Consider the following 20,861-nt stretch of genomic DNA (forward strand, 5'->3'; position numbering starts at 1 on the left):
TTTGTGATAAGCTTTTTAAGGTACAGGAAAATCTCTATATATCACTCTCTGAAGGAGAGCAAATGCCATTGATGTGGCTTCACTCCACATGACAAAAGACTTATCCTAGTTTGCAGCCAAGTGACTGGAATTGATTTGGGGGCATCTTAGGGGCAACAGGTCAGTCTGAGAGTGTATAAAATGTGAACTCAGAGAATAAGAGCGCTTGAGGAGAGGAAACTGAGCTCTTCCTGCAGCTGCCTCTCAGCATCCTACGTGAGGGATCACACACCCCCTATTCCCCCTCATTTGTGAGTACATCACCCAGTGCAGATGTAAAAATTTATATAAAATATATTCATATGCCAACTAAACTAATGTATCACATACATTTATAAAACATACAAACTGTTACAGAAGGAAGTAAAAAATATCAATAAAAGTCTAATATTTATTCCTGTACCCAGCTGATCATTTTCTGTACCCCATTTTGTGCTCTAGGCTATCTGGGGGCTACTAACTTATTGTGTGCCCTGTGATGAGGTTGGGACTTCCACTGGCCATGTGGGATCCCTCCAAGGGCTCTCTGTCTCTTGTCTGACTCTCTTGGGCCTCCAGGTGCTGTCCCCAGCCACAATCAGAAGAGCTTGCACCTCTGAAATCCTCGCTGAAACCCTCGTTTTGGGGATCTCCTGCCCTAAGAAAGACTGAAAACCTACTGTAGTCAAGGCTGACAGGGAAGGGTGTGTGTGAGTGTGTGTGTGTGTGTGTGTGTGTGTGTGTGTGTGTGTGTGTGTGCTGGGAGAAAGGAAGTATTTTCCACTCTCACACATTGAGGGCTGAGAGCCTAAAGACCCTTCTAAGAACTTGAATGCTGGGTTTCAGGGAGGTACAAGAAGCAGGTGTTTCCCTCCTACTGAGACAGGAGTATACATTTTCTGTTGAGATAAAGGAACATGGAGTGAGTATGATGCCTCCCTGCTCTCCACAGATGCCTCTGGGCCAGTCTGGCACTTCAGAAGAAAACCAAGAGGCTCCTAAGGCTCTGCTGGCTCAATCTTCCCAGAGTTCCCAGCCAAAGCTCTGCAGCAAGCTCAAGTCAGCCTGCCTGTTCTTGCTTTCAATTTTGTATATAAAATTATCCTCTGCATTTTACAAGGAGCTCTTTTTACCTTTAGGATCCACATCTGTTGGACCCTGTAGAAAGAGGATTTTTGTCTTCCCTAAGCAGATGCTCCCATCTGCCCAGGGACTTGCAATGCAGATTCAGCTGTCATTTCTCTGCCTTCATGGAAACCATGGTGTCTGCAGGCACCGCTGTCTCTTACTGTGTGTCAGGTGCAATCCAACCTTAGTGGCGCCCCTGAGGGTGAACTAGGGACTCCTCAAAGTGCTCTGGCAGCCTCAGATCTACATTCTCCAAGATACTGGGGTAAGCTGATCTTTCAGGTAAACACTCTGTCCACCTAATGGGGTTTTCCTCCCCAGACAGGTGAGGTAGACCTGTTAGCTAACAAGGTAACTTAGAATAAGCTAGGGTTTTGTTTCTTCTTAGCTCTTCTGCTTTCCTGGTTCCCTCAGGGCAGCACCAGGGGCAGGTGCCTGAAGGCTCATGCCCCAGAGCTTTCCTCTTTGGGGCTGCCTTGGGCTGATGCAGGATCTGCTTCCCATGGATTTTCACTCCTCTTTCCAAGCTCTGCTGTAGAATGGCCCACTCATCAATGCCAGCTTTATTAGAAGCTGAAAAACAAATGGAAGTTTCCCTCTGAATTCTTGTGCCCAAAACCTCTTGTCATTTTCTTGTGTCAGGCATGGCACTGATGCTTTTCAGCTGGTGAATATCACAGCAGAGCTTTTGTGGCTGAGTACATATGCAGATAATTTAAGAACCTGGCAGATGTGTTAGGCAGAATTATTATCAACTCAGCTTAAATTATTTTACAGGATTATCTCTCATAGGTTGTAGTCTCTGATGGAATAGAAGCCTAGAACAGGTACATTTTAAAAGAGAGAGAGAAAGAGATACAGAGAGAGAGAAAGGGAAAAGGCCAGGCTTGTTCTTAAGTAATGGGCCAAGTTGGGTGGGAGGTGAGGGTGTGGGAGAGAGACGGTGCGTGTTGGAGGGTGAAATACAGAGAAGAGAAAACTCCAATATGACAAAAACTAACGCTGTGAAAGCATAAAGGAGAGAGAGCTGAAGGCAAACCTTTCATTTCCACTAACTCCGTATGTCACCACTATTTGGTATTCAGTTTATTTATAACTTGAGGAGGTTGAACTAGTTATCTTTAGTGACTATTCTACTTTCAAATTGTTTTAATCTCTGAGTCTGCTTCAGACCACTCAAAAGCTTACTCATTGGGCAACTGTTTCCTATTGGTAAAGACTGTGTCATCAGTCCACTTTTCCCCTAGTTGAAAGGTAAAATGATCTGATACCCAGTTTTCTGTGAATTTGTTCAGCTATGGCTCCCTTCCCATCTCTTCCTCCAACTGAAACTCCCACAAATGGCCATGTAAAAGGCATTTCTTCCTAGCCTGTGATTCAATATTAAGAATCAATGTATTTACTCAAGAAATGCTCAGTTGATACAAAGATAAATAAGGAATCCTTCTTCTCAGGGAACTCATTATCTGGTATGGGAGATAGACACATAGTTAAAATGTCACCAGTTCTGTAATCAAAGTAATCTTCGGGTACAGTAGCAGTCTGTGAGGGGTACTCCCAACCCTATGGATGGACAGGAGATGAGGAAAGCCTGCCTGGAGGAGGGGTCCTATAAGTCTTAAAGATGAATCTGTGCAGTAAGGAGAAGCAGGACCATTCCTGGCAGAAGCAACAGTGTAAACAAAATCACGAGGAAATGAATTTGCATTTATACATAATAAAGATTGGTATCATTTGACTTACAACTGGTAGCCTTTTTGAACACTCAAATTGACATTAAAATTTTACACACTCATCGTTTTTACTAATTCATGCAAAACTTGGTGAACCATGTATGTATACCTCTGGTATCAGAAGAAAGGATTTTTTTCTTATTTTAATATAAATTCTTTGCTATAAATTCTTTGGTAATAGACAATGCTTAAAATGCTTAAAATCAGAAAGACTGACAATAGCAAATATCAATGAGAGGAAGCAGTCAGAACCCCACAGAGCATTGGTGGGAATATTAAAGAGTAAATAATACAATCACTTTGTTGTTGTTTTGTGTTTTGTTTTGTTTTTGTTTTTGAGACAGAATCTCCCTCTGTCACCCAGGCTGGAGCGCAGTGGCGTGATATTGGCTCACTGCAACGTCTGCCTTGAGGATTCAAGCAATTCTCATGCCTCAGCTTCCCAAGCAGCTGGGATTACAGGTGTGCACCACCACGCCCAGCTAATTTTTTTGTATTTTTAGTAGAGGCAGGGTTTGGCCATGTTGGCCAGGCTGGTCTCAAACTCCTGGCCTCAAGTGATCCACCTGCCTTGGCCTTCCAAAGTGCTGGAATTACAGGCATGAGCCACTGTGCCCAGCCATCAAAGAGTACAATCACTTTGGAAACAGGTCTGGCAGCTTCTGCTAAAGATAAACATATAACTACTCCATGACCCAGAAATTCCACTTCTGGGTATTTGCCTGAGAGAAAGAAAACCATATATCCACAAAAGGACATGTACAAGAATGTTTATAACCACTTTATTCTTAATAGCCTCAAACTGGATGCAACCCAAATCTCCATCAGCAGGAAAATAGATAAACAAACTGTGATATATTCATATAATGAAATACCACTCAATAAAAAGAAATTAGTTATTGATATATAGAGCAAAACATATGAACCTCAAAAACGTGCTGAATGAAAGAAGCCAGACACAAAAGAATACCTTCTGTATGATTTCATTTATTTGAAGGTCTACAACTGGGAAAACTTATCTTTGATGAAAGAAACCAGAACAGTGGCTGTCTTGAAGTAGGGAGTGTTGACTGGGAAGGTGCATGAAGGGTCTTCTGGGATGGAAGGAATGATCTATATCATCCTGTGGTCGTGGGTTACAGTAATGCATGTGTCACTTCATCAAACTGTACACAAAAGATTAGTGAATTTCACTTTATGAAAAGTATACCCAACTAAAAAAATACTGGAGACAAGGTATGGAGTAGGGTAGGGATGCTTCAAAATTAAACATGAAATCACAAAAACAAATAAATGAAGACATAATTGGAGAGAAAACAGGAATAAACACACACACTCATGCACACACACAAACGCACACACAGACATCCCTGATCTATGGGCCTCCACTGGCATTTGTGACATTGAGCAGGATAACATGAACATTGAATATGAGCATGACATCACTTGCATTTTCACTCCTTTTTGGTTTTGGCTGCACAGGTGATAACTGCTGGGAGTGAATAAAGTTTTACAGCTCCACTCTGTACTATTAAAGATATACATGATTAGAGGCTGGGTGCGGTGGCTTCTGCCTGTAATCCCAGCACTTTGGGAAGCCGAGGCGGGTGGATCACTTGAGGTCAGGAGTCTGGGATTATACTAAAAGTACAAAAATTAGCTGGGCATGGTGGTTCATGCCTGTAATCCCAGCTACTCAGGAGGCTGAGGGAGGAGAATTGCTTGAACCTGGGAGGCAGAGGTTGCAGTGAGCCGAGATCGCACCACTGCCCTCCAGCCTGGGCAATAGAGTGAGCCTCCATCTAAAAAAAAAAAAATATATATATATATATATATATATAATTAGGAGTAAGGAATCATAGATGTTCAGAACCAGACAAGACTCCTTAATGTTACAGATCAGGAAATGGAGGCCAGGGAGGGGGAGTTGAAGGGCCTTCCCAAGGTCAAACAGTTACCATTCAAGGACTAGTAAACCTTACCAGTATCGGTGAGTAAAAAAACAGCCCTGGCTTCTATGAAAATTTTGGAACAATAATTTCTATTATCATCACTGTTTATTACTATGCACCCAGTAACAAAAGGATAAGACAACCATTTATTGTTTTTGATGGGCCAGGCACTGTCTGGGTGCTTCACACACAGTGTCCCTAATCTATTCCAACGTCTGTGCACAGCAAGTCCTGCTGCCTGTATTCAAAGATGAGGAACTGAGGAAGTGGAGAGGTTAAATCATTTGCTAACAACTGCCAGCACAGAACTAAAACTTAAGCCTGTTTCATTCTGAAATTCGTGTTCTGTCCAGTAAGTTTGCTAATCCCTTGAGTATTAAGTTTACTCTTCTTAATCAATAATTACACAACTGTGCCTGTTTAGGTATTAGGTATAATAGCCTGCTATTATTTTGGTCTTACCAAATTTGTGTATTTAGTAATATTATCAGATATTTTCTTCCTTCATAGAATTTCCCAATTTATCATTTAAATACTTACGTGAAAATTTTCATCCTGTTTTTCTTCATACTTTTCAGATAGACAAATTATTGATCGCTTTATTCGTACTCACTGTGACACTAACAAAAAGAAGAAATGAAAAGGGAAAATAGTACAAATGAAGAAAATCTGAAAATCAATGGAAGCACGAGGACATTCCTAGTCATTTTCTCAATTATCAAGGAAAAATAAGATGCAAATAGCTTCAAGTATGATGTGATAGTCATGAATTTGTGTCTTTTGCTCCGCTTTATTTTTAAACAATAAAATTAAGGCTACAAAATTTTCCCTGAACATAGCTTTAGCTGTATCCAATAGTTTTTGATACAATGTTTTTTTCTTTTCCCTTTTGGATACTTAATTTGTAGTTTCAATTTTGATTTCTCCTGTGAACTAGGAATTATGTGGAAGAGATTTCTTAATGTCCCATTAATCAGAGACTTAAGAAATCATTTTATTGCCTTATCTCTTCTTTGAATGAATGAAAGTTTAAAAATCTGCTTTTGGGAAATCAATTGCAGTTTTATTTAATGCCATTAATCAAGTATATGATTAATTTGTGTGTTACGTGAATATGAGAAAAAAATTATAGTTTATTGTATTTTTTAATCCCTTATATCTTTAATTGTATACTTGAATTGTTCAATTCTGAAAGAATATTGGAACCTCCCACAATAAATATATTTTTATCAATTTTCCCTTGTATTTCTGGGGTTTTTGCTTCATATATGTGGCTGTTATATTTTGTATTCTATTAGGGTTTATGAATTACACAGAGCTTCTTCATTGATTAACATTGCCCATTATATATTATTCATCTTTGGCTGGTTAATGCTTTTTGGCTTTAAATTGCATTTTAATTGATATTAATGTTGCTATTGGTGCTGATTTGATTTTGGTTTTACCTTTGCATTTGCTCAGTATGTCCTTGCTTTCATTTCCAATCTGTCTTTGTAACTTTGCTTCTAGAAATAAATTATGCCTATCTTTTATTTCATAACTAATGTGTCAGTCTTTGTCTTCAAAAACTTAGTACAGAGCAACTGTGATGCTTCACATACTGGGTTTTGTTTTCTATATCATTTTTTTTGCTTGCTATTTGCTGTTTGTTCTTTTTAGTTTTACTGATTTTCTTCATTTTCCCCTCTAATGTTAGTTTTGGAAATATACTGTTTTTCATCATACTAGTAGTTTTTATCACACATTGTCATTACTAGATTTGGGTTCCTCTCCCAATATATAAAAATTCCATCATCTCTGTGCTCTCAGGACCTTGTACTTCCCGGTTCTTCCCATGGCTACTGACTGAGAAGATATCCTTTATTTCCTCATTTCACACTGTGCTTTTCACTACATCCCCTGCATGTGCTCTTACGCGTGTGCATGCACACACACACACACACACATACAAACAACTGCCAGCAGGGCTCATGTGGAGAAGGAGCTTGCCCTGTAGGTTTCCCACCAGCAGCAAGAGTTTGTTGTTGTTATTGCCGCTTTGGCTTTCTTTCTTTCTTTCTTTCTTTTTTGAGCCCTTGTTTGGGCCTGTCCTATTTCCTGCTCCTGTTTTGCATCAAGGCAGTCATATCCCAACCATCCCTGCTTTAGACAGGGGTAGTTTTCTATTTATCAGCTAAGCGTCTCCCTGCCCCAACGTCCTTTGCAGATGTGGGTCAATACTTGAGCATTAATCTGCTTTTATGCCTTTCTTAGAGTGCTTAAGACTGTTGCAGTGGCCACCCAGGAGCTTTACGTGGACTCTCTCTTGGTTTAGTGTGTGCAGTGTGGGACTTCCTGACTGTCCTCACAGCATCCATTCCAAAGCAGAGGTCCATACTCCATCAGGGCCTTGAGCCAAATATTAATAAATGAGTAGCCCCTTTGGTCCACAAATATTTATTGAGCACCTCCTACGTGCCAAGCAGGGCTTTAGGGGATGGGGATAATGCACTAGTGAAAGACAGTAATGGAGCTTCGATTCTAGAGGGAGGCACCAAGAGGCTCCTATTTGAAATGAAACTTCAAGAGGAGAAGGAGCCAGCCACATGGAGAGATGGGACAAGACCTTTCCAGGCTTAGAGAACAGCAAGGCAAGGGCCTCAAGATAGGAATGATTTTGGTGTTCTAGGAACTGGAAGAAGGTGGAGTGGTTGACACATACATAGTGAGTTGGCCGGGGACAGGGAAAAGTCACGCAAAAAGAGATCAAGGAAGCAAGAGTCGGATCATGGTGTGAGTGCCATTGTATTTCTGTTAGCATAGACTCTTGTATTCTATGTAACTTTATTTCACAACAGTCAATAAATTTCTATTGATTCAAGTTGTGGATCACCCATGAATGTTGTTTTTATACTATTCGTCTTCTTCTTCTTCAAATTTTGGTAGCAAAGTTTTGTGTAGGACTTGAGTTTTTCACGACTGCAGACGTGTCTGTGCATGCATCTTAAGTTTTTAATGTATCTCTACACCTTGGGCATCCCAAATGGTATCCCTGACCTCCCAAATGATTTTTTAAAAATTCACATACATTGAGGTTCACTCTTTGTGCTATAAAGTTCTATGGGTTATGACAAAAGCATAGTGCCATGTATCCACAATTACAGTATCACACAGGATAGTTTCACTGCCCCAAAAATTCTCTATGCACCACCTGTTCAATGCTCTCCTCCTCCCCTCAAACCCTGATTACTTCTTTGGAGATCATTTTGGTATTCTGGAGGTAGGGTAGCTAAGAAAAGCCAGCATCACCTACCTTGCCCTGGGGCAGACAACATACGGATGAGTATTGCCATCTGTCTGGACACAAAAAGTCCTCTTACCTACAGGGTTCTAGAACTTGTCAGTGACATCACTCTAGAGCAAGATGTTCTACTTGTAAATACAGTATTGAGATGTCATCTTCGACAGACTTTTGCTTTAGGGACGGTGGTAAAGTGAATTATTGGCCCCAATTCTTCATCTCTCTCTGTATCCACACCCCTGGCCATGTAACCTTGCAGTGCCTCCCACTAAAGATGGAATGTATTTCCCCTGACCTTGTATGTGAGCACAGCCATGTGGCTTTCTTTGGCTAATGGGTTGTTAGAAGAAATAAACCTGGGCTGCTCACTGGTCCCAGGAGAAAAATGAGTCACCCCAGCTGACCTGCCCCAATGACTCACAAACTGTGAATGAGAAATAAATGCTCTTTGCTGCATGCCAGAGGCCAATGTAGCAATAGCTGACTGGTACAGGCACAGCATTTATTTAGATGCAACATTCCTGGGACCCTCAAAATGAGAAAAAGCTTTGTAGAATCAGTTCTTTCTCAAAAATATTAAATTCTACCACCGTCAACAAATGTGTGTTTAAAAAGCAATTGCACCCGGGAAGCGGAGCTTGCAGTGAGCCGAGATTGCGCCACTGCAGTCCGCAGTCCGGCCTGGGCGACAGAGCGAGACTCCGTCTCAAAAAAAAAAAAAAAAAAAAAAAAAAAGCAATTGCATTTTAAAGTAAGAGTGTGGTTGAGGTTCTCTTGTATCTTAAAAATGGCAAGGGTGTTTTAAACATTGAACACTTTAAAGATTCTCATGAGGCCAGTAGCCACTGCTTATTTTAATGTGCTAGAAGCTGTGAGTGCTTTAACCTGGTTCATTCTCAGAGAAGATCGGCAAACCCAGATCAGTCATGGACCTGGCATGAGTTAATTACATGGCACTAGAATCTCTATTATTATATTTGTAAGATAGTAGTTTTTCAACAGTTACTAATCCTGCCATTTTTTTTTTCTTGTGATATCCCCCGATGGCTCTTTAATTCTCTTTTTTCTTTCCTGAAAAACTTACCCTTGGTAGGCGATTTCTGGGGTGTTGATTTTTTTCTTGCCGGGAACCCCTGTGGCCACAGCACCTTTGCCCAAATTCTTGTCCTGCATCCAGGAAGAGTGAGGTACACAAGTGAAGAGTGAAGAAGAGTTTTATTTAGTGTTAGAGCAACTCAGAGGAGTGGGTAGCTCCCTTCTGCTGGCAGGTCATCTCTGAGGCTCTCAGTGGACAGGGTACTCTTCTCTGCAGCTGGTCATCCAGTCCCATCATCTCTCTGCTCTCTTTGTCTTCTGGCCATCTTCTGCCCTGCTCTGGTTGAGCCCAGGGCTTTTATGGACCTCAGAAGGAAGGAAATGTATGCCAGTTGGTCCATGGGCGGCCATGGGTGGGCCTGGACTCTTCCAGGCCCATGAGTCCCTACTCCAGTTCACGGGACTGGCAGCCCAGCCCCTAGTCTTCAGGCTCTCCCTGGCCTGAGGGTGGGCCCTTACTGGGGACCCTCTTCCTTCTACCCAGGATTCTGTCAGCCTCCCGCTGGGACTTGGCCCCCAACCCCGCTGGGAGATTGGAGCGGGCCTTGGGAGGAGAGGCCAGGCACTGGGAGCAGACACCCCTAAGCCTGCAGGGACAGGGGTCCTTCCTGGGGCACTCGAGGGTGTAGGCTACAGAGATGCCCAGGTCCTGTGCCTGGGAGGGCAGTGCAGCTGCACCCAGGAGCTCCCGCCCCACCAACTCAGAAGAGGCAGGACTCCCACTTGTCCCCAGCTTCTGCCTGCTTCCTGGAGCAGGAGGCCCAGGTCTGCAGCCGCGAATGAGGCAGCTGCAACTGCACCTCGGAAGGCAGATCCTGCCTGTTCCCGTTTCTCCCAAGAGCACAGGAAGGCTCCGATCCACAGCTGCATTTTGGGCTGCTGTAGCCTCACCCAGTAGGGGGCGCTCCTTCCTGCTCCCTAGAGCAGGAGGCCTGGGTCTGCAGCTGTGGTTTGGGTGGCTGTAGCCACATGGGGAGGTCCTGTCCCAACTCAGAATGGGCAGGGTTCCCCCTGGCTCCAGGGAGTGTACAGCCCCAGCTGCGCTTCCCTGCTGCAGCTGGCATGATGGCAGCAGCCACTGCCATCACCCTTGCACACACCTTATTCAAAATAAAAGTGTATATAGTGGATTTCTATGCTTTCTAGAAATATCTGTTCTTTGTTTTGAACCTCTTGAAGAAACAGTTATGTAAATGTGTTTAAAATTGTTCCACTTTGTTTTAAAAAGCTTTTGTGAATAAGTAGAAAACAACATCCCTTTAGAATGAAGGCTGCAATAATTTGTAAGAAAGTAAGAAATAAAACGCAGGTTATAGGAAGTTGTTTTCACTACGTGTTAGAATTCTCCTTTCTGTACAGGAGGTATATGAGTCTGGAGCAGGGCTTATCAGCCTTGGCTACCCAATCAAATGTCCTGGAGAGATTTTTAAAATCCTGATCCCGAGGCTACTTTCCAGTCCAATTACATCAGAACTTCTGGGGACGGATCACAGGTGCTAAGGTGATCCCTGTGCACAGCAAAGAGTGAGAACCACTAAACTAGAGGGGGGATCTAATTGGTAAATTGCACCTGAGAAGGTTAAGTTGGTAGTTTAGTCAAGGTCTAAGCAGGAAGCAGAATCCACCCCATTTGTTTCAGATGATGGGGCTTAAGTAAAGGGACTACTTACTGAGGACATAAACGTGGGGTAAGGCTCCCAGAGACTTGAGAGAGAAGAAAGCTGTTACCACCTCTCCCTGTGAGAGCCTGGGCTGTCAGGGAGCTGCTGTCCCCTGGAAGGGACAGAGCCATTTTGGGGGACATGACACAGGGAACAAGAAGGGAAAAATTCCTCCAGCCTTGCTTCTCCTTCCCTCTCATATAATCTGATCTCCTGGCAATGGCTCTCACTGACAAGCCCAATGGATGCTTACCAGCAAGGTATTGATGGAGATGCAGTCCAAAGAGTTAACCTCCTGTGGCACCAGCCAGGCCAGAAAAGGCGATTAAAGGGAATTTGGAAGCCAAATAAAATATAACCAACACAATTGGCCAGCCTTGCTGAATGAAAACCACAAGCGGAGGGTATGGCCAAGTACTGAATAAATTTTTGAATGTAATTTTATAAAAAGTTTTATAAAATAAGGAAATTATTCATTTAAAGAATTATCTTAATAAAAAAGATATCATAGACATATCATGAAATTGGGACTATTCCAGAAAATTCAAGGCATATGACTATGACAATTTAAACTTTATCCTTCATTTAACATTTATTTTTAAATATTTTTAAAGTCTTTCATACCAGACACCCTGCTGTACTAGATACAGAAATGAAAGACACAGTAATCTATTCTATTCCTAAAGGTCTAAGAGTCTAGCAAAAAATACAAATTGGCAAATGTAATGAAATTTACAATTTTGCCAGCCCAGAGCAGCATGCCTCACTTTGGGGGGTACTCTCCCACCCCAATCCAGCCATGTGATTCTGATGTCAGCTGAAGGCTCTCTGTGCCCTGCCCGGGCCAGGTACCATCTGAATGTGGTACCTCTCCTCTCTGGCCATGGTTGGGGTTTGGCCCAGGATTTTCTTCCATGGGGACTGGGCAGAGCACTCTTTCCTCTGTTGCTATGAGGCTGTAAGAAGATGTTTCCAGAGTTGCCCGTGGTCTTCTTCCCGGTCCCACAACAGCAACCAGCCCCAGAGAATGGAGACCTGAGAGAGGATGTATGAGGAACGGAAGAATCCTGATGAGATTGGAGTGTCTACCCTTGAAACCATCTCCATCCATGCCCCATGAACAATTCATTTCTTGATTTGACTACAGCTGGATTGAGCTAGATTTCTGCCACTCGTAATCAACAGGGTTCTAACAAATACAGAAGGAAATCTCAGTAACATCCTAAAAGAGCCATGTGCAGAATGCTACGAGATTTCTAAGAGCTTGCCTAACCCGGCCTGAAGGGTCAGGAAAGGGTTTCTGGATCAAGGTAAAGGCCCAGGTTTTTATGGATGTACAGCCACTATGATTAGGCTATTTTCAAAAGCAAGAGTTTCAAACTGAAATGCCTACAGGGGTGCATAGGCAAGAAAGCAAGATATTTTTCTCTTTCTATACTCTCCTACTACTCTCACGCAACGCAGAGCACTACTGTGACCACATGAGTGGAGTTTTTTCCCTGACCGAATAGTTCTCCAGCACCAGGTAGGTGTCCTCCTAGCTCACAGTTCAATTCAACTGTGACACTACCTGGAGTTGGCGCAGATCTGGCAGGATGAGGACTCACAAAACCATCTTTGCAAAAATTATAACAGTGAGAAATCTGTAACAGTGAAAGGGATCTGACCTAACCAACTCCATCTTGTGTCTAACCTTCCAGCTGCCCTTGTTCATTGCTGGGCATAGTCTGAACTAACTTTGGGAGGAACTTAGTTTATAGTTTAACTTTGGAACAAAGATGGTAACAGCCCTTTCTCAAAACAAACCCCTTCTTGCCTGGGGACTTGACTGCCTTTGTAGGACTAACAAATTAGCCTCAAGAAATGCAACTTCCCCGTTACTCCTGCAGATAACATCACTATTGTAGAGCCTAAGATTTGGGATGTCTTTTCAGGTTTTTGGATTTCTGATGACCGATGGCTCTACCCAGACTCACTGTTTGGTCCTGTGACCCCCACCCAGGAACTGACTCATCGCAAGGGGACAGCGTCAATTCCCTATGATTTCATCTTTGACCCAACCAATCAGCATTCCCCACTCCCTGGCCCCCTACCCGCCAAACTATCCTTGAAAAAACCTAGTCTTCGAATTTTTGGATAGACTAATCTGTGTAAAAATAAATCTATGGTCTCCCGTTCATCTGGTTCTGTAAGAATTAAACTCTTTCTCTATTGCAGTTTCCTTGTCTTGATAAATTGGGTCTATCTAGGCAGCAGACAAAATGAACCTACTGGGTGATTCCAGTCAGTCCCACAAGACTGCCCCCCATTGCAGATGCCAACAGGAAGTAGTAAGTCCCGAAGTTACTCACAGCTTCTGCCTGACTTGGCTACAAATTGAAAGTTCCCATGACTGCCTTCTTGAGTTTGATCATTTGCTAGAACAGCTCACAGAACTCAGAGAAACACTTCACTCACATATGCCAGTTTATTATAAAGGGTATTACAAAAGATGAACACGACGAGCCAGATGAAGAACTACATAAGGCACAGTATGGGGGAAAGTACAAGTTGCTGCCAGGCCTTCTTCAGGCACATCACCCTCCAGGCATCTCCAATGTTCAGCAACCTGAAAGCTCTCCAAAGCATGTCCTTTTGAGTTTTATGGAAACTTCATTACATGTGCATAATTGATTACATCATTTGTCATTGGTGATTAATTCAAACTTCAGTTCTTCTCCCTGATTGGGGGGTGGAGTTGAAAGTCTCAACTCTCTAATCAAGATTGGTTCCCCTGGCAACCAGCCTGCATGTGGAGTCTATCCTGAAGCCTCCCTCCTTCCCCGGCAGTCATCTCAGACATCTCATTCACATACAAAAAGACGCATCACTTATCACTTTGAAACATTCTAGGAGTTGCCTGCCAGGAAACTGGACAAAGACCAAAATAGGTATTTCTTATTATAAGTCACAGTATCACAGGAGGCCTGGCAGGTAACCTAAATGAGGGAAGCGGGCCAGGAGTGAGACCATAGGGAGAGTGACTGGTGAAATGAAGAGTGCCCACTATGTTTAAAAGGGCTGCTGAGTTATCGTAGCAACAACAACAAAAAAACTACTTTACTCCATTTTTGTTTAAGGGGCCTTTACCCATTCCTGCTCATAGGCTAAGATAATTTTAGAGCACTAATAGGCAAAAACAACAATCGTGTAGTTTAAAAAACACTTTAGGATTAAAGGACACATATTTAAACAACTATGTTTTGTTAAAGATGTATAGGACCATTAAGGCCTGACCAAGGACAAAGGCATTCCCAACCTCCCCAGACCCTTGCTGGCACCCAATTGTCTGTGGTTACTGGTTAGCTCTTGATCTCAATTCCCTCCTCTTTCCCCTGCGCTTAACATGAAAAGTACCTACAATTTGTATTGGCTTAAGGTGGTGCTTTAGGACAATAGTTCAGCATCTTCTCGGTTTTCTGGCTCTCCAATAAACCTGCTTTTCCTCCCACCAATTTTTGTCCCTTGTGTTTGGCGAGCTGCTGGATGTGGGTTTGCTTACATTATCTCTGGCTAATTGTTGCCCTGTTAGTATGTGTTAGTCATAGAGGATTTCAGGAAAAGCAAAAAATATGTTTTTTAAATGTATTTACAATTTTTATTGTCACTCTTTCTGGTGTAAAGTGTTACAGATTTTGACAAATGCATAGAGCACTGTATCTATCACCCCAATCATTATATGGGAAAGTAAAATTCCATCTAAAATTCCTCTGGCTGTTCCCCTGTACACAGCCCCACCTCCCTAGCCACTGGCAATGACAGGTTTGGTTTTCATCCCTATCATTTTGCTTTTTCTAGAATGTCATATAAATGGAATAATATAATATATAACCTTCTGTATCTTCGATTTATCAAAATGAATTTTGTTGTTGTTCTTGTTCTTGTTGTTGAGTAATCTGTAGTAACGTGTTGCTTTTTATGGCTGAGTATGGATGTACCAGTTTATTTATCTGTTCACTGGTTGAAGAACATCTGGGTTGTCTCCAGGTTTTGGCATTTGCGTATAAAGCTGCTATAAGCATTCAGGTTAAGGTTTTCTTTTCTTTTTTCTTTTTTTCTTTTCTGTTTTTTTGAAACAGTCTTGCTCTGTCACCCAGGCTGGAGTGCAGTGGTGCAATCTTGGCTCACTGCAACCTTCACCTCCCAGGTTCAAGTGATTCTCCTCTGTCAACCTCCCAAGTAGCTGGGATTACAGGCACCCGCCATCATGCTCAGCTAATCTATTTGTATTTTTAAGAGAGACAAGGTTTTACCATGTTGGCGAGGCTGGTCTCAAACTCCTGACCTCAGGTGATCCACCTGCCTCGGTCTCCCGAAGTGCTGGGATTACAGGATTGAGCCACTGTGCCTGGCTCAGGTTTAGGTTTTCTTGTGAATACAACTTTTCATTTCTCTTCAGTAAATAAATACCTGGGAGTGGGATTGCTGTGTCATATGCATGTTTAACTTTATAAGAAACTGCCAAACCATTTTCAGAATGACTGTACCAGTTTGCATTTCACCAGCAACGTATGAGAGTTACGATGGCTCCACATCTGTTATTAGCAATTGGAACAGTTAATTTTTATATTCTGTCAACCTGTAATAATCTATAGAATCAAAATCCAGTTTAAGAGAGTTTATTTAAGAACAAAACTGAGGATGGCCACCTTGAAAACACAGACTCCAAAGGGATGGGGTCAAGTGCTCTGAAGCTGAAAAGTTAAGGTCTTACTTATATAGGCAGAAAACAGGGAAGTTTAACAGGATTACAACATTTTCCACACAAAGCTGGTTTATGAGTTATAGAAATTTGATTAGGTATGGATTGTTTTCTTTCTCAATTTAAAAGAGTATATTTAACATTCCATTTTTGACAACATGATGCTATTTGTGTAAAAGAAGAAAAAGGAAAGTTAATCTATAACAAAGATCAATAGTTAAGAGGGAAGGGATTCTTCTCTGGTTCCCTTTAGTCTTTATAACATTTTATAAAACAATGCAGGTAAAGAAAAGGGTAATCTATAATCAGAGAAACAAAGGTTACAGATGCCTAGGCTATAGCTGCCTTTTATACGACTCATGTCCCATAATCACATTCCTTTAAGGCCCCAAATAAAGTTCCAATAGCTTTGATTTTGAATTACTTATTTTCACATTTCTGTTTGTTTGTTACTATTCTATTACATCATAGTTTTACGGTGCATTTCCCTAATGAAAATGATATTGAGAAACTTTTCATGTGCTTATTTACCAGCTGTATACATATTGGGGGGAAGTGTTTATTCAGATCTTTTGCTCATTAAAAAAATGGATTGTTTGTATTCTTATTGTTGAATTTGGGGATAATATATATACATATTTGAATACAAGTTGTTGGACAGAAATATGACTGGTAATTATTTTCTCCAAATCTGTGGCTTTTCTATTTATTATCTTAACAGTGTCTTTTATCCAGTAAAAACTAAGCCAGTGTCACAAAGATTTATCAGGTGAAGGATATTCCTTTCTCTTCCTAGTTCGCCAAGAGTTTTGTTTTGTTTAATCATGAATGGATGTTGAATATTGTTAAATGCTTTTTTTGAACCTATTAAGATGATCATGCGGCTTTTCTTCCTTAGTCCATTAATATGAGGGTTCTTTGGTTGACTTTTAATTGTTGAATCAGCCTTGCATTCCTGGGAAGAATCCCCTTAGTGGCAGAATTGCTTAAGGCCAAAAGCACTGGGATTACAGGCATGAGTCACCATGCTCAGCTCAATTTCTTGATAGATATTATCCAAACTATTCTTGTTACCCACTTCTCGAATGAGCTTGGTAGTTTGTTTCTTCCAAGGAATTTGCCCAGTTTATCTAAATTGTCAAATTTATGGACATAAAATTGTTCATAGCATTCCCTTTTTCTCAGTGTACGTGGGTTTCATAGTCATGGCCCCCGTTTCATTTCAAATACAGGTAATTTTTGTCTTCTTTCTTTTTTTCTTCATTAGCTTAGCTAGAGGTTTATCAATTTTGTTGATCTTTTCAAAGAAACAACTTTTGGTTTCATAGATTTTTTTCTATTGTTTTTTATTTTTCAATATCCTTAACTTCTGTACTCATCTTTATTATTTCTTTCTTTCTTCTTGCTTAGGGTCTAGGTGTTTTTTCCCCTCTAGTTTCTTAACCTAAAAGCTTAGGTGACTGAGAATTTTTGTTTTTCCTACTACTTAATGCTATAGTCTAATATGTTTTCTATGCTTAATGCTATAGTCCAATATATTTCCCCCATGCACTGCTTTAGCTACATTCAATGAATTTTGCTTTATTTGTATTTTTGTTTTCATTCAATTTAATATGCTTTTAAATTTTCTTTGAGATTTACTCTTTGAACTATGGGCTACTTAGAAATTAAATTTCCAAATATTTGGGATCCTCCCAGACATATTTCTATTATTAAAGCCCAGTTTAATTCTGCTGTGGTCTGAAAACATACTTGGTATGATTTCTATTCTTTTACATTTGTTAAGGTTTGTTTGATGGCCCAGAATATATTCTTCCTTGGTGAATGGTCCATGTGCACTTGAGAACAATGTGTATGTGCTTTTCGGTATTCTATTAATGTCAATTATGTCAAGTTTGTTGATGGTGTAGTTTAAATCTTCTGTATCTTTACTGATTTTCTGTGTATTTGTCAATTACTGAGAGAAGAGTGCTGAAGTCTCCAACTATAATTGCAGATTTATCTTTTTATTTTCAGTCCTACCAGTTTTCGGTAATGTATTTTGAAGTTTTGTTATTAGCTGCAAACACACTGTTATGTCTTCTTGGTGAATTGATCCCTTTTTCATGATATACTATCCCTCTTTATCTCTGAAAATGTTCTTTGTGTTTTTTTTTTGTTTTTTGTTTTTTTTTTTGAGGCAGAGTCTCATTCTGTCACAGAGACTGAGTACAATGGCATGATCTCGGCTCACTGCAGCCTCCACCTCCTGGGTTCAAGTGATTCTCCTGCCTCAACCTCCTGAGTACCTGGGATTACAGGCACCTGCCACCATGTCCAGCTAATTTTTGTATTTTTAGTAGAGATGGGGTTTCACCAAGTTGGCCAGGCTGGTCTCAAACTCCTGACCTCAGGTGATCCGCCCACCTCGGCCTCCCAAAGTGCTGGGATTACGGGCCACAGTGCCTGGCCCAGGCCTCTCTCTTATTTTCCTGGGGAACAGTAGAACACTGTGTTCTACTGTTACTGATTCCTCAATGCTTGTTTGACTTGTGGTGGGGGTGTTCTCTGTTGTTTTGGTTAAGCCTTATTCTTAAGCAGGCACTGTGTCCCTGGGTCTCAGGGCATGGCCTTCTCAGGGCTCTTTCCTTTCCCCCAGCACTTATTCCTGTCCCTCCCCCATGAATAGAGGATGTTTTCTGTTCCCTTCCCCCAGCAGCAGTGAGTTTTCCCCAATCCTCTTGCAGATGAAGGCTTTGTTCCATAGGGGAGTTAAGGGAGAGGCCTGGTTAAGATTTCAAGCTTCTCCTGAATTAGCTGCTGTCTTCAAGGCTTGTACCAAGAAGGATGTTTTCTCCCAAGGTTCACCACTCCCTTTTGTGAGTCCTTGGTGGGGTACATGGAGAAAAGTCTACAAGAGGGTGTGAACTCCCCTACGTTTGCAGCCCCGTCAAGCACCACACTCTCTTGCCGGCCCATCCTCTCAGCCTATATCAAGTTAGTAAGTATTCTCACGGAATTCTTCTTTCTGGTGTCCGGCCACTTCTGGCTCAGGTAAGCAAATGATAGTGTCCCATCTCTCCCTGCAGATACCTGTGTCTCCTGAGTTTTGGTTGCCCTGTGTCGTCAGCTCTCTGATGGGCATAAGAAAAGTTATGAACTTGCAGTTTGTCCGATTTTCTATTGCTGTTACCTCATTAGGGTGGGAAATACACCGTTTCTGACTTTCTAGATTCCTGAACAGAAATCAAAAGTCAGGAATAGGGTTTTTATTTGAAATTTTCTGTCTTTTAACAGTTTCCAACTAATTCAAATTTTTTAAATATGCAAGTCAAAACACATCTTGGATAGGATCCCTATGTGATCTCTGCTCCCAGGGTCTTGCCATGTACCAATTTGTGCCAGTTTGGGGTTCAGGGGATTTTCTAGACCTGTTTAGCCAAATTAAAGGTGTAAATCTTACATCACAAGTCTTTTCTTATTTGCTGTTTATAATTAGTTTATGGATATAACTGGTCAATGAGTAATCAGCTACTAACTAATCTTTTTTAATTAGTCTAATGTTTATTATTTCATGGTAACTATAAACCCCCATAAAATACTTTGGATAACACGTAATTGGAATTGTATTGGAGTCATATGATGAAAACCCATGAAACCTACTGAAGGACATAAAGTAAGGCTTCGGTAAATGAAGAGCCAGTGCAGTCTTATAAAAGAAGATTCAGGCCGGGCACGTTGGCTCACGCCTGTAATCCCAGCACTTTGGGAGGCCAAGGCAGGCGGATTACGAGGTCAGGAGATCGAGACCATCCTGGCTAACACGGTGAAACCCCGTCTCTACTAAAAATACAAAAAAATTAGCCGGGCGTGGTGGCGGGCGCCTGTAGTCCCAGATACTCGGGAGGCTGAGGCAGGAGAATGGCGTGAACCCGGGAGGTGGAGCTGGCAGTGAACCAAGATTGCGCCACTGCACTCCAGCCTGGGCAACAGAGCGAGACTCCATCTTAAAAAATAAATAAATAAATAAATAAATAAAAGAAGATTCAACATTGTAAAAATGCCACTTCTTCCTAAATTGACATAAAGTTAACACCAGTAGAATTTCGAACAGTATTTTTTTATGAGTGTTGTGTGTGCGTGCAGGTAACTTGACAAAAAATTATAAAGCGCATTTGGGAAAGAACAATATCAAGAATAACCAGGAAATTTTTGATAAGTAAGATGAGTAATTAGGAGAAAACTTCCCTAACAAATATTAAAATGTATTATAAAATTGCTATACTGTACTATGTTACAGGTAACAGGAAAGATGAGCAGATTAATAGGACAAAAATAGGATCAAGAAAAAGGCTAAAATATATATGAGAACTTAGTGTGTGATAAAGGTGCCAGTGCAAAACCGTGAGAAAAAAAACGGCTTATTGAATACACGTTATTTAAAAAAAAATCCTCTGGAGAAAAAAAAAGATGCACCTTCAAATTGCTACTCAACAAAAATAAATTCCAGATGGAAGAAATAAACAAATGTAAACTATAAGCTATAACATAAAATTTTCCAACTACTAGAAGAATTTTTATTTTATTTATTTATTTATTTTAAGTTCTGGGATGCATGTGCAGAATATGCAGGTTTGTTACATAGGTATACGTGTGCCATGGTGGTTTGCTGCACCCATCAACCCGTCTTCTAGGTTTTATGTCCCGCATGCATTAGGTATTTGTCCTAATACTCTCCCTTCCCTTGCCCTCTACCCCCTGACAGGCCCCAGTGTGTGTTGTTCCCCTCCCTGCATCCGTGTATTATCCTTGTTTGACTGCCCCTTATGAGTGGGAACATGCAGTGTTTAGTTTTCTGTTCCTGTGTTAGCTTGCGGAGAATGATGGCTTCCAGCTTCATCCATGTCCCTGCAAAGGACATGAACTCATCTTTTTTGTGGCTGTATAGTATTCCATGATGTATATGTGTCACATTTTCTTTATCCAGTCTATCATTGATGGGCATTTGGGTTGGTTCCAAGTTTTTGCTATTGTAAATAGTGCTGCAATAAACATACATGTTCAACCATTGTGGAAGACAGTGTGGTGATTCCTCAAGGATCTAGAACCAGAGATACAATTTGACCCAGCAATCCCATTACTGGACATATACCCAAAGGATTATAAATCATTCTACTATAAAGAAAAATTTTTAAAGAAAATCTGTGGCTAAGGAAAGCCCTTTCTAAGCATGCTGCAAAAACCAGAAACTTAAATAAACAGACTACTAAATTT

The 20,861-nt window shown here is 41.2% G+C and overlaps 1 protein-coding gene and 1 long non-coding RNA gene across 12 annotated transcripts in view, besides 1 other annotated feature; one reads left to right on the forward strand and one right to left on the reverse strand.

Annotated features, from left to right (window-relative positions):
- Nucleotides 1–6,064, forward strand: part of TEX26 (testis expressed 26) — a 42,845-nt gene extending 36,781 nt beyond the window's left edge. For 10 of the 11 annotated variants that reach the window (NR_148425.2, XM_047430094.1, NM_152325.3 and 7 more), the window contains one exon: nt 5,410–6,064. Coding sequence is in view for 9 of the 11 variants with exons in the window: in XM_047430094.1 (XP_047286050.1) it covers nt 5,410–5,471 (62 nt within the window). In the remaining 2 variants the exon portion in view is untranslated. Of the gene's footprint in view, nt 1–970; nt 1,412–5,409 lie in introns of all 11 variants that reach the window. The other variant, XR_001749479.3, reaches the window with a different exon arrangement.
- Nucleotides 3,847–8,204, reverse strand: TEX26-AS2 (TEX26 antisense RNA 2). The gene is made up of 3 exons (XR_941820.3): nt 8,124–8,204; nt 5,372–5,451; nt 3,847–4,045 (listed from the first exon to the last, which is right to left on the reverse strand). It is a non-coding gene; the product is annotated as a TEX26 antisense RNA 2 (long non-coding RNA).
- Nucleotides 13,905–14,480: an enhancer, noted in NCBI's record as "NANOG hESC enhancer chr13:31557478-31558053 (GRCh37/hg19 assembly coordinates)". NCBI's record gives its function as "activates a minimal SCP1, AML or CMV promoter by ChIP-STARR-seq in naive H9 embryonic stem cells {active_cell/tissue: H9 hESC(naive)}" and the evidence as "EXISTENCE:reporter gene assay evidence [ECO:0000049][PMID:30033119]".

This window comes from Homo sapiens, chromosome 13 (genome assembly GCF_000001405.40).
Source record: "Homo sapiens chromosome 13, GRCh38.p14 Primary Assembly".
Taxonomy (NCBI): Eukaryota; Metazoa; Chordata; class Mammalia; order Primates; family Hominidae; genus Homo; species Homo sapiens.